Genomic DNA, 14,218 nt, shown 5'->3' on the forward strand with positions numbered 1-14,218 from the left:
TCCCTTCCACCTATGAACTTGTAAAATCAAGGATGCCCACCCTCACCCCTTCTCTTCGACATAGAACTGGAAGTCCTCCCCAGAGCAATCAGACGAGAGAAAGAAATAAAAGGCATCCAAGTCGGTAAAGAGGAAATCAAACTGTTGCTGTTTGCTGACGATATGGTTATTTACCTAAAACCCTAAAGACTCTTCCAGAAAGCTCCTAGAACTGATAAAATAATTTAGCAAAGTTTCTGTTTCCAAAATTGATGTACACAAATCAGTAGCTCTTCTATATACCAACAGCAGCGACCAAGATGAGAATCAAATCAATAACTCAATCCCTTTTACAATAGCTGCAAAAAAATAAAATAAAATAAAATAAAATAAAATAAAATAAAATAAAATAAAATATTTAGGAATATACCTAACCAAGGAGGGTGAAAGACCTCTACAAGGAAAACTACAAAACACAGCTGAAAGAAATCATAGATGACACAAACAAATGGAAACACATCCCATGCTCATGGATGGGTAGAATCAATATTGTAAAAATGACCATACAGCCAAAAGCAATCTACAAATTCAATGCAATTCCAATCAAAATACTACCATCATTCTTCGCAGAACTAGAAAAAACAATCCTAAATTCATATGGAACCAAAAAAGAGCCTGCATAGCCAAAGCAAGACTAAGCAAAAATAAATAAATAAATAATCTGGACCTATCACATTACCTGATTTCAAACTATACTGTAAGGCCATAGTCACCAAAACAGCATGGTACTGGTATAAAAATAGTCATACAGATCAAGGAAACAGAATAGAGAACCCAGAAATAAACCCAAATACTTACAGGCAACTGATCTTTGACAAAGCAAATAAAAACATAAAGTGGGGAATGGACACACTATTCAACAAATTGTGCTAGGATAATTGGCAAGCCACGTGTAGGAGAATGAAACTGGATTCTCATCTCTCACCATATACAAAAATCAACTCAAGATGGATCAAGGACTTAAATCTAAGACCTGAAACTATAAAAATTCTGGAAGATAACGTTGGAAAAACCCTGCTAGACATTGACTTAGGCAAGGATTTTATGACCAAGAACCCAAAAGCAAATGCAATAAAAACAAAGATAAATAGCTGAGACTTAATTAAACCAAAGAGCTTTTGCGTGGCAAAAGGAACAGTCAGCAGAGTAAACAGACAACCCACAGAATAGGAGAAAAATCTTCACAGTCTATACATCTAACAAAGGACTAATATCCAGAATTTACAACAAACTCAAACAAATTAGCAAGAAAAAAAAACAAATAATCCCTTCAAAAAGTGGGCTAAGGACATGAATGGACAATTCTCAAAAGAAGATATACAAATGGCCAAGAAACATATGAAAAAATGTTCAACATCATTAATGAGATTTAGGTGCAGACACAGAGCAAAGCCATATCACCATTCTAATAGGCGTGTGGTGGTTTTACTTTGCATTTCCAAACGGCTAATGATGTTGAACATCTTTTTATGGGTCTATTTGCCAACTGTATATCCTGTTCAATGAAATGTCTCTTCCTTTTTGTTCTCCATTTTCTTTTCTCACTTTTTTTTCCTCACTGTTGAGTCTTGACAATTTTTATATATTGTAGGTACTAGTCCTTCTTCAGATAGGGTTTGCAAATATTTTCTCCTGTCTGTAGCTTATCTTTTAGAGAGCAAAAGTGATCTACTTTTATGAAGTCCAGTTTATCATTTTTTTCTGTTGTGGATTATGCTTCTGGTGTCAAGTTCAAGAACACTTTGCCTAGGACTAGACCCTGAAGATATTCTTCTGTACTTTTTTCTATAATTTTACAGTTTGCATTTTAATTTATGATTTTTTTAATATAAAGTGTGAGGATTGGGTTGAGGTTTACTTTTTTTCCTATATATTCACAATTTCTCCAGCACCATTTGTGGAAAAGGCCACTCTTCCTGCAATAAACTTCTTTTGCACCTTTGTCCAAAGTCAGTTAGGCCTGTTTGTATGGGTCTATTTCTGTGTTTTCCGTTCTATTCAATTGAGCTATCTATCTGTCCCTCTGCCAAAACACATGCCCCTGATACAGTAGCTGTATAGTACATCTGGAAATCAGTAGACTGATTCATATTGTTTTAGCTGTTCTATCTCATCTACATTTCTATGTAAGTTTAGAATAATCTTGCTTGTATCTTTAAAAAAAAACTTGCTGAAATTTTGATAGGAATTGTGTAAGACTTTGTCAATTTGGAGAGACTTGACATTTTTTTATTATGTTGAGTCTTCCTGTCCAGGAACATGGTATACCCTGCAGCACCCAAGCCCTGTGCATGTTTCAATAGATTTTCTTATATGTATTTAGTATGTTGAGCCGTTCTAAATGGTACTGTATTTTTAATATTGGTATTCATGCATTCATTGATATTCTATAGAAATACAATTGGTTTTGAATGTTTATCTTATATCCTGTGAACTTGCTGAACTCATTAATTTTAGTTTTTTTTCCAAGCTGTCTTAGATTTTTAAAAATGTATATAATCATGCTGCCTGTAAATAGGCACTGTCTTATATCTTCTTTTTCAATGTTTGCCTTTTATTTCCTTCTCTTGCAGTGGCTGGAGCTTCCAGCACTATGTTGAATAAAAGTGGTGAGAGAGGCTGTCCTTGCCTTGTTCCCAATCTTAGGAGGAAAACATTCAGTGTTTCACCATTAAGTATAATATTAGCTGCAGGTTTTTTTTTTTATAGATGCCCTTATCAAGTTAAATAAATTATCTCTTCTTTTTTTTCTGAGAGATTCTATTATGAAAAGGCATTAAGTTTTATCAAATGCTTTTTTCTGAATTTATTGATATGATCCTGTGAATTTTCTTTAGCTTGTTAATATGGTGGATTACCTTGATTGATTTTAAATATTGAACCAGTCTTGCATTCTTGGAATAAATCCTAATTGGTCATGGTGCCTACTTCTTTTCACATATTCTATTTACAGATATTTTTAGGGCAGTTTTTCAATATGTATTCACGCTTTCTTGTTTTTTGACTATGCTTTAAAATTTCCTCTTTCTAGTTGTATCTATAGTTGCTGTACGTTTGGAGCAGGGAAGGGTGTGCTGAAGAGGAAGCTTAGAGAGTCATCTAGAGGGAGGGCTACAGGGCAACTTTTTAAAACTATGGACATAAAATGCTTCGATAAAACTAAACATGATTCGGACTTGGATTGTGTGGAATATCCACATAGCAGATACCGTTGGTGCTCATCCCTGTTCCTCACCCACCACATCAGTGATGCCACCCCAGCTCCTGCCCCATCCTGCCTGCCTCCGTGCCTTTGTCTGACGCCTCCTTTGACTGCTGAATCCCATGCTACTTGTGCATGTGGCACACCAGAGTGCAAGGAATTAATGTCCCCAAGAGTAATTTTCAACCAATGCCTGACAGAAGTTGGTGCATAAATACTCCAGCTCCCTCCTCCTCAGGTCTGTAACTCTAAGGTGTGTGCTACATGCTGGCCTTGAGTCCCTGGTAGGACTGGACTCTGTGTGCCCACAGTGATCCTTTGAGAACGTATCATATCCTCTACTGGCTGCCTTCCTTCCTCAGTTTCACTTCTCCCAACAATGTTTCATGGGATCCTATACCAAACAAAGCACTTCACTGAAATTGTTTTCTCAGTATCGGCTACTGGGGAAATGCAAATTAAGACAGACAAGAAATGAGTCTAATTCAGCCTGGAAAACTGTTGGATCAAAAGGTAAGGCACTTTGCTCACATGAGCAACTTATAATTTTGATATCGAGAGATGTGTCTTCTAGAGAGACAGAATAGTGCTGTGGCTAAAAATATGAGTGTAGTCAGCCTGATCTGGACTTGTACCCCAGCATCTCTGCTTCCTAACTGTGCTTTATAGCAAGTGACCAAACTCGAAGCCTCAGTTTCCTCAAAACAGGTGTAATGATACCATCTTCCTCATGCGACTGCCCTGAGTGCACACAGGGGCCTTGCACAGCAGATCCAGTTCTGGCTCACAGCAAATGCTTCACAAAAGGCAGCTCATTTTTTTATCCTCAGGAGAGTGGCTTAAAGAATGGAATGAGCCTATAAAGGTGGAAAAGTAGAAGGCCAATGTGAACTGTGAGTGAATTAAATAGACCAGTGCAACAAAATCTCAACCTGTGAGTGAATTAAATAGACTAGTGCAACAAAATCTCAAACTTTTCTGGACCAGTCCTTGCAAATGTGTCAGCAAAACTAAGCACTTTTGGAAATACTCCTAAGATGGCATTTCAGAAGAAAGGTGACCCTGACTGTAAGAAGATCTAACCATAACGTGCCTGTTTCACTCACTTGAGGTATCTTGAAGTGAAGTAAAACTAATTTAAGTGATACTGTTCTGGGGAAAAAAGTAAATTATACACTTCTCAATTCTTGAATAATTAAAGCATTTTTTAAAGAAAAATAATTCAATGATGTTTTATCAGTTAGGAAGGTTTTCGGCTGCAAGTAAATTCAGAGCAGTGGCATTAGCAATACAAGAACAATGTGAACTGTGATCGAATTAAATAGACCAGCACAACAAAACCTCAATCTTTCTGGGCCAATCCTTGCAAATGTGTCAGCAAAAGTAAGCCCTTATTTATTTGTAAATACTCCTAAGATGGCATTTCAGAATAAAGGTGATCCTTACTATATCTAACCATAATGTGCCTGTTATGCTCCCTTGAGGTACCTTGAAGCAAACTAGTCAAGGAAAGCTATTTAAGTGATACTATTCTGGGGAAAAAGCAAATTATACACGTCTCAAATTCTTCACAAATTAAGCATTTTTTAAAGAAAAAATAATTTGATGATATTTTATCAGTTAGGAAGGCTTTTGGCTGCAAGTAAATTCAAAGAGTGGTGGCATGGGCAATACGACCTTTTACTTCTCTCCCTTGGTATGAAGTCTGGGGCGATTATCACAGCTTCTTATGCCATGAAGGATCAATATCCAACTTTCCAACCTCCTCTTCATCAATTCATTGATGCAAAGAGGCTGCCACAATTGTACAAAGAAAAGAGAGAGAGGGAGAGTTTCCATGTTCTTCCTCTCAGTTCCATCTATTAAAGATGCACGAGCTTCCCGGATGCCTGTCTGCAGCTCCTTCTCTGGGTTGCTGACCACGACGCATGGCCCACGTACACTAGCTTTATGGGAGGCTGAGACATGCACACCTGGCCTTGTCAGCATCTCTAATGGCAGAGCAATGAGAGAGAAGTGGTTTGTTCCTATTGGTCACTGCGTCAGCCAGCCGCCAGGGTGTACCTCCTCTAATGCCATTGCTTTCTGAGCTCCACCAGTTTATAGGATAGGCACGGCCTTTCTTACCTGTTCCTTCCAGCCATCACTGGGACTTTGCTTTGGCTTCCTTCCCCAAAACAAGTTTTGATCCAGAAATCCCCAAGTTGTCCCAAGTCATGAGCATAACTGGGCTTTATGAGAAACAGGTTTGCTCTGAGGGCCCTCACCTTTCTCACTGTGGTCCTGTGTGGAAGCTGAATGCTGCTTTCAGATGGCCACATTCCTCCTCTTGTGGTTTCTTTTGGGTTCATCTCCTACACTGGGTTCTAGGCTGACTCTTAACCATGTTAAGGTTCAGGTATGCCTGACTAACCCCTGCAGTGGCTCCTTCCAGCTGATGTCATCACAGTTACAGGCCTTCTGAAAACAGTGCCTGACCCCAGTGGTCCTCAGACATGAGCACCTCAGCATCCCAGGGAGGCTCCAGAATGCACAGATGGCAGCCCCTCACCCAAAGTGGGTGGGAAGGAGGGAGAATTTGCACTGCTGACAGGCTCCCAGGTGACGTGGATGATACTGGACCGTACCACATTCTGGGAACCACCACCTTACCCCAAGTACCCAGCATTCCTCCTATGTCCATCCTGGCTGCCTGTGGGTGAGGGTCCCTGAATGTGCTGATGGAGGAGGGAGGAAGGGAGCCCCTGAGAGTATTGTTGACGGCAGTGGCCCCTTCAGTTAAGGGAGGAGTACAGTTTATCACGGGGATAGCTTCCATTTAGCCAAATGGAAATTCACACTCTTACTTGTTACTGCTCTAGAGTGATAAGAAATTCATCTGGGCAAGGTGGTGCACAAACAGTACACCAAGTTCCAGAGCCTTTCCAGAAGCCTCGGAGGACATCACCTGAGTGCATCTGACAGTCATCTGTCCAACCAGTGCACCCCTCCTACTGCACCCCGTTTGTAAATTGAGTACATTTTAGTTACTGGGATCATTCGCTTCTACTGTTAACTTCATTTTCTGATGGTGCTGTTTAAATTAGATGTTGTGATTGGTATGACCCAATTTTTCCATTTCCAAAAGTTGTTTTGCATTTTGTGTACATAGACATATGGAATTATTGATGATTTCTATGGTGCCTCCACATTTTCAAGCAGTCTGAGCCGAGGGAGGAATTGCATGCTGCCTTGATGCTGATGGACATGATCTCTGCTCTATCGACTGGCCATCATCTTCATGCACCTGTCCCTTCAATTGCTGGCTTGCCATGGTCCTTCAGCCGGTGTCACATATCTTGGCATTTTATTTTGTCAGGTTAGCACTTTGCTATGGTTGTTACCGTACATGGTCTTTGCAATGCTCTCAGATTGTCCTGTAGGTCACGTGGTGAACACTTTGAAGCTGAAGGACGGGACTCATTTTTTCTGCAGCAAATGCATCTTTTGGCAGAATGGCCAGTCACGTTTGTTGCATGAGCATTTGCAGGTATGGGTTCTCTCTCCTTTTGTCTTGTTTAAGTGTCTCTAGGAGAAAGGACTGGTTTTCTGTGCTGGTTCTCTCCATGGCACCTCATAGGGTAGCAACATCTGTTGAAGTTCTGAGCTTATCTCAACACAACTCAAACGTAGCTCACAGCAAAAAGCATGATGGAAGCCATCATTTCATGCTCTTTAAGATGCTTGAATTGTGGTGGCTGGAGCCAGAGGGTGAGTGAATGTTTGTCATGTCCACGTGGTTAGACACAGGGGGCTGAGGCTCTCACATCTTTGTGTCTCTGGGACCTGCCTCATAACAAGTGACTGTGGCTAATTAGCAGTGGGGCAAATTCTTTGCTCATGTCCCCACCCAGAGGGAGGCCTCTGCTTTCCCCTTGGGTCTGGGAAGGGCTGTGCCTCCGTGGAGTGTGATGGACATGAGGCTGGGCCTTTGCATGGGGGATCCTGCTGCTTCCTATGCATGGAGGTCCCTCCTGTGGGCCAAGGCTGTGTTGAAGTCCCTCTGCCACAAGGACGTTGTGCTGTGAGGAAGCACAGTGGAGTGGTGTCCCCCATGAAAGTTATGTTCAAATGTAAACCCCTGGTATCTGCGAGTTTGCCTTTATTTGGAAATAGGGTCTTTGAAGATGTAATTAAGATGTACATTAAGATGAGGTCATGCTGGAGTAGAGTGGGCCCTTAATCCAACATGACGAGTGTCCTTATAGGAAGAGAAGTGACACAGGCAGAGGGAAGATGGACAGGGGATAATGGAGACAGAGATGGAAGTGGTGCAGCTGCAGTCAGGAACGCGAGGACTCTGGCAGCCCAGCAGCCAGGAGGGCGTGATTGCCACACTTTGACCTCAGGCTTCTGCCTCCGCAACTGCAAGAACATGAATTTCCATTGTTTTAAGTCAGTCAGTTGGTGGTTCTTGGTTACGATAGCCCAAAAAAACTAATGCAAGCCCGAGTGGGGCATGTGGATTGGTTTCATGGAGATAGAGAGAGAGAGAGAGAGAGAGAGAGAGAGAGAGAGAGACAGAGACAGAAACAGAAACTGAGGCAGAGAGAAGGGGAAGGAGGGGGTGAGAGACAGAGACGTGGAGGGAATATGAGAGACACCCAGAGACAGGGGCAAGACAGAGAGAGGAGAAAGAGGCAGGTGGGGGGTGGGGTGATGGGGAGTTAGTGCTCAGCCAGCCCCTGCGGTTGCAGCTGTTGCAGCCGTCTTAGGTGCTGAACGAGCGAGTGAGGATACACCTCTGACAATGTTGCCCCAGCTGCTAGAGCAGTGGAAACACCAGGCTAAGCGCAGTCCAGACTACAAAACTGAGAGGAGTCATAAGTTGTTGTTTTATGCCACTATGTGTGGATCGTGGTTTGTTACACAGATAACAGAAACAGCAATGAAAATAATTTGCTGAAATGAACTAATGACGCCCTCTGTGTGCTTGTTGACCGATTGAAAGTACCAGCTTCCACTGGCAAGGCAGGCGGCTGCAGTGGACTTTATCTGCAAAGGGTCTGTGGCTGTGTAGATCCTGTGTTTGGTTTAGCACTCAGGATTTAAACCCAAAGGCTGAGTATTTAGATGGTTTCATTCTGAGCTGCCAGTTTGCTGTCTGGGGGAGTACACTGGGAGGCTGCACTGGACTCAACTGCATCAACATCGGCTGCCCACCGTGGACAGTGTGTGCACATGAAGATCATGTGTCCCAGTTCATTCCCCCAAACGAGCCTGCTACTGCATCATGGGTGTTGAGAATAAAAATATTTGCATCTGAAGTTTTCTGAGATGATGGGCCAAATTCAGAACTTCAGAGCCCGGATGAGAGACGTCTCTGAATGACCCTCCACACCTCCCCTCTTCCAGAGCAGCTCAGTCCCAGCAGAGCAGTTTTGGTAGTGATGGCTGTGGCACAATTTCAGAGGTGCCCAGGCCCAAGAATGCTTGGGTGAAATTCTGGAAAGCATGCTTGTGGGCCAGGTTGCAAAAACAAGTGAGTAGATATTTTTTCATTTTCCTATCATGCTTCCAAAAAAAAATCTCAATATGGGAAATTAAATCAAACTATAGACCAGGTTAAAAAGTATTCTGCTTAGAAGTAAAATACAACACACCATCATGAAATCAACGAAGGGCACATTCAGGCTGGGATAATCTCTGCTCCTCGAACTCCTTCCTCTCATAGCAATGTCCTCTGACTGCCACTTCTAATTCGTGTTGGTGGAGTCGGAGTTTTCTTATGAATAGAAAAAGAGGGACTTAATTTGTCACCAAAGCTTGATTCCTTTTTTTTTTCCTGCACATAAATCCTGTCAATTAGGTTAATAATAGAAGCAAACTTCATCATGAAATGAAATCTCCCCCAACATTTAAGACTGTGCAGTCGTCTCTTTGCCTAATTGTATTAATAAAATTTTTAGCAACATACTTTTGGGGATCAATGCAGCAGGCCCTGCCAATCAAGGACTTTTCTACTTACTGAAAAGGTGCTAGACTTTTTAGTTTCTTTGTGACAAACTATGGAAAGGCTGCGTTGCCCCCAGAAGATTAAATCTTTAATTTCACATTATTTCCAGCCATCTCTATAGAACAAAGTGGGCTTTACCTGTTGAATATGGGGCTTACACGACTTGAAGTACTCTTGAGACATTAAGAGGCGGCCGAGAACGGTCTCTGAGATTTAAGCTGAGGGGAATTCTAAAGGGATTACTGCTGCATTTTCCATAAAACGAGAAATAAAAACAGACTTAAGCAATGCATGATCATAAATGCATTCCTGCCGTGATGGAGAGTCCCATTCCCACTGCCACTCTGAGGCCCAGGCAGGAAGCTCTTGTCAAAGGCACCCACACTTGTAAGGATTTGTGCAAGTCCAATGTATAATGAAGTTAGGGCTGAATACTTTGGAAAGATTGGCTATTTGGGAAAAAAAAAAAAAAAAGATACTCTTCCATTTTCTCTGGCCCAAAGGTGAGAAATGTGCACATTATTTTGACATCATTAAGATATCTTTTGTTTGGAATGCTAACCTGTCTTGACCAGAACCGGATAATGCTCTCTATGAATAATTAAGAACAAAGCTCTTCTTGGGAAGATTTTCATGACTGATTAACTATGTGGGCTGAAAAAAAAAACCCTGATGTCTTCCAAAGATTAAAAGAAAATGAGGACCCCAATTAAAATCCTGTCATCCTTACTAATCAGCTTAAGAAACTCAACTAAAACAAAAGTTGTATTAAACATGTAACAGCATTCTCGAGCGTGCGTTGATTACTCAGCAATGCACATTTTGTATAAACACCCTCTAATGTTCTAAGCATATCTTGCTTTGAAATTTAAGATTAAAACAGTGAAAGAAAACTATCATGCACTTGGAACGGTATGATGTAAAAAATGGAATTTTTGTTTTTAAGACCCTGTATTCAAAGTAATGTTCTGACTTTGTGGTAGTTTGGAGAATGTTGAGTGAAGAGGAAACAGTCTCTCTATGATCATGTGTCCCATTTAATGAATGAATTAAGTTAACTCATCCATCCTGACCACACATTTATTCATAAAAAATAAAAATGTGACGGTACATTCGCTTCCTACCCTTGCTCTAAAGGAGGTTGTTATGCTTTCCAGGGGTATTAGTTCATGGCTAGATTCCTCCAGCTCTGAGCTTCTGTAATTCTAAGTATGACACTGTGGTTTCCCAACAAGACAAATACAGGCCAAATATGTGAAAAGAAGATGTAAGAGCTGCATGATTTTCAGAGCGCACCTTCTAGAATTTTATCATTCAATGGACCGACTTGCTCGCGACCACAGACCCGGTTAGTGGAAGAGCGGATATAAAATCCCGAGCATGCTGGGCCTGGCCGGCCTCCGTCTGCGCTTCCGTGCTCCTCTCCTCATTGCGTCGTCCCGAGGTGACCACCCCGTGCCCTGGCTGCCCTGCGGGGATGTGAGCGGCAGGCCCCGGCAGCCCTGCTTGGGTACCTTGCCTTGCAGTGAGGACCTCGGAGGCTCAGGAAGGGGGCTGTCTCCTCCCTCGCCGTTCCCAGTTCCCTCTCCATGGCGGGGACACCAGTCTCCCAGATCCTCGGAGGGGGCGGGCATGTTGGAAGACGCCTGCTTACTAGAACAATTTTGACCAACACCCACCTCAGAAAAGGAGAGTACTGAAGGCACATCTGGTGTCAAATCGTCCCTGTCACCCTGAAAGCTGCATCTGGGACCTTCAGGGACCTCTCACTGCACACGTGGCCTGAAAGGAGGGCCCCAGGGAGCAGGGGTCCTGGGCACTTGCAGAACTGCTGAAGGAAGGGTCCCCAGAGGCAGGAAGCAGTGCCAGGGGCAGATGGGAGCCAGCAGGAGATGGGACGCCTGGCTCACCACCTGTCCCAGCCCAGCAGGAAGGGGCACTCTGGCCCTCACTCCCGGAGGACCCCTCAGCCCAGATGGGCACCTTGTTCAGGAGGACAGGCTCTCCTGGCTCACAGTCTGCCCCAGCCTAGCAGGAAGGGGTGCTCCCGACCTCACTCCCGGAGGACCCCTCAGCCCAGATGGGCACCTTGTTCAGGAGGACAGGCCTCTGGCAGAGGGAAAGGATGGGGCCGTGTATCCCCGCCTCCCACATCCTCATTATTCTTTATTTCACGAGCTCTGGGGTGGGGAAGGACTGGAGGAGTCAGCCCAGCCCTGGATTCTCTTCCACCACGGCTGGGTTTGGGGTCCCCTGACTCTGGCACGTCCTCCCGGGAGTTGGACCCCGCTCTTGGGAGGCCTTAGAAGGACTGTGCAACTCCTCCCCCTGCTTTCCTGCCCCTTCTCTCCATGGAGCCTGGACCCTGGAGCTCCGACCCTGGAGCTCCAGCCCTGGAGGCAGCTCACAGCATTTCCTAAATGATGAAGACAACTACTAGCTGCTTTTCTTCAGGACAAATAAAACCTGTCAGTCCATGGAGCTCATCCCTATGTGACACGGTCCACAACCTCTTGCAGCCTTGTCACCTCTGGGGACGTTGCAATGTATCCTGCGCCTTTTATGTGTGACAGCCCACACTGGATGCAACTACAGGGACCAACTGATCAGCAAAGAGTGAGGTCGGGCTCTTCCGTCTGTGATCCCATTGAAGCCCGGGGGCTTTCTCATCTGGATCCCCAAACCAGGTTTCTCCATTTGGGGCGTCAGTGCAATTCAGTTTCTTAATTTATACTGGATCTTACGAGGGGGATGCTTCCTTTTAGCTTAATATTTTCAAAATTCTCCCCCCAACTTAGGAAAAGTCTACCTTGAAAATGCTCACTCAAAAATAAATACAGTTTTTTTCTCTCTCATTATTTCAAGCCCATGATATTTTGCCTCAGATTTGTTCTAATAGATTTTTCTCGATTGCATTTCAGTGATCAATTTAGGAGCAGAGGTGTGTAGAACATGGAGGGAGGGATACAGTGTTATGGAAAAGCACGCCGACAGCAGACTTGCATACTGTATGACACTGTATGCGTTTGAATACTGCTTTTATCTTCATTCTATTTTTAGGCTGCTTATTAAGGAAGATGGGCTTTCAATGCTCCTTCCTACCTCTTTCACTCCTTGGGAAACATCATTTTGCCCGTGGACACAGGAATCCATGTTCCCTTCTGGGTTCCCGGCTCCCCGCACAGGTGGCACTTAGACCAGAAGGGGTGGTGCCGATTCTTCCAGGAGCCCAGGCTCTTCTCACAACAATAAAATGTGACCTAGAGCTTTACCTTGCTTTGCTGTGCCCAATTCTATCTTTGAAAAATTGTTAATTGACAAATAATAATTATATATAGTTATGGGGTACAATGTGAGGTTCTGAACTATGCTTTCGTTGCAGAATGATTAAGTCAAGCTAATTAACATATCCAGCACCAGATGAACCTGGAGGACATTTCGCTAAGTTTAAAAGCCAGGCACAGAGAGACAAATATCACGTGATCTCACCTGGGTGTGGAATCTGAAAGTGCCGAACTCGTAGAAGCCGGGAGTAGGAGGGTGGTTACCAGGGGCTGTGGCTGTGGGGAGCAGAATGGGGACTGGGGAGACACTGGTCAATAGGTCCACAGTGTCAGTCAGACAAAAAGAACAAGTTTTAGTGAAGCATTGCATAGCCTGATGACTGTAGTTTATAATAATGCATGGTGTGTTTCAAATTTGCAAAAAAAAATTGATTTTAAATGTTTTCGGTTCAATTTGCCTTTTCATTAACGCACTTTGATTGGGTACCTCCTTTTTGGCATGCGGTCTAATTAGGGAAATATACACACATTAAAAAAATCATGAACCCCATGGTACGGACTGCACATTTTGTTCTCCCAAAATTCATCTATTGAAACTCTAACCCCCAGGGAGATGCATAAGGAGGTGAGGCCTCTGGGATTGGTAGGTTTAAAGGAGGTCAAGAGCCGTATGCAAAACTGGAAGAGTACTTGCCAGACATTGGATCTACCAGTGTCTTCATCTAGGACTCGCCTGCCTCCAGAACTGTGAGACATACGTGTTTTCGGTTTAAGCCACCCAGTTTGGGGTACTTTGTTACAGCAGCGCAAGCAGATTAGGATGCCCCGTGGAACAACCCAGGTTCCGTGGATGTCATAGTTAGGGAGTTCTATGGGTAGAAGGAGTAGAGAAGAGATTGCTGTGGCTGGGAGGGCCGGGGAAGGCCTCTAGGAAGAACAGGAAACCAAGATGGCCCCTGAAGGGTGACTGGGATTTCGATAAGTTGGAGAGGAGCAGCAAGGAAAGTTGGGATCAGGACCCACATGAACTCGGCATAAACACCAGCTCACATGGGCTGCGGTGTGGGGGAGCCAGCTGAAGGACATGGCAACAGGTTCTCTCCTATGGGACGACCTTGGAAATGAGAAGGGGAAGGCATATGAAAGGAAGAGTCAGAGGTGGTGGATTCTTCTTATTAATTGTTCCAAAGAGGGGTTGAGACCGTGAAGAGCAGCACATGGGGCTCCGGGAGGGCTGGGAGCCGGGAGAAATAGAAAGCTGTGCTGCAGCTTGCTCTGGCAGGTGGGAAGGATGCCAGGAATGGGTGACAGTCAGCTGAGATGCTCTCAAGGGAGCTGTGCCTGCCTCTGGTCATCCCAGTCCCTCCCGGTCAGCACCTTTGCCATTCTGCTTAAATTCTGCTTTTAAGAATAGCAAAATTCTTAAAAGAAAAAAAAACCAACTAGAGGTGAAATCAAGCTGCACTGCGAATCTGACTGTTAAGAATTTCAAAGACCCAGAGAAAATGTTACTGTGTGCCTTTCTAGTGGTCACAGGCTGACCACCCTCCGTGAATATGGGATTCTTCCTTGGCCTTAAAGAAGTGGAGAAGGGCATCTTTTTCATACACCTCAGGGGAAAAATCACCAAACCCTCAAACAAAACAAATCTTCCTCATTTCTATTATCTTGAAACATTAGCTTATTACTTTCTGGCAT

At 43.8% G+C, this 14,218-nt stretch overlaps 1 long non-coding RNA gene across 1 annotated transcript, besides 1 other annotated feature; it reads right to left on the minus strand.

Annotated features, from left to right (window-relative positions):
• Positions 1-7,325: 7,325 nt before the first annotated feature.
• LOC105375603 (uncharacterized) lies at positions 7,326-13,324 on the minus strand. Its single transcript, XR_928250.2, has 3 exons — positions 12,726-13,324; positions 8,884-9,005; positions 7,326-7,645 (listed from the first exon to the last, which is right to left on the minus strand). It is a non-coding gene; the product is annotated as an uncharacterized LOC105375603 (long non-coding RNA).
• Positions 10,786-11,363: an enhancer, noted in NCBI's record as "H3K4me1 hESC enhancer chr7:155936145-155936722 (GRCh37/hg19 assembly coordinates)". NCBI's record gives its function as "activates a minimal SCP1, AML or CMV promoter by ChIP-STARR-seq in primed H9 embryonic stem cells {active_cell/tissue: H9 hESC(primed)}" and the evidence as "EXISTENCE:reporter gene assay evidence [ECO:0000049][PMID:30033119]".
• Positions 13,325-14,218: the final 894 nt, after the last annotated feature.

This window comes from Homo sapiens, chromosome 7, assembly GCF_000001405.40.
Source record: "Homo sapiens chromosome 7, GRCh38.p14 Primary Assembly".
NCBI lineage: Eukaryota > Metazoa > Chordata > Mammalia > Primates > Hominidae > Homo > Homo sapiens.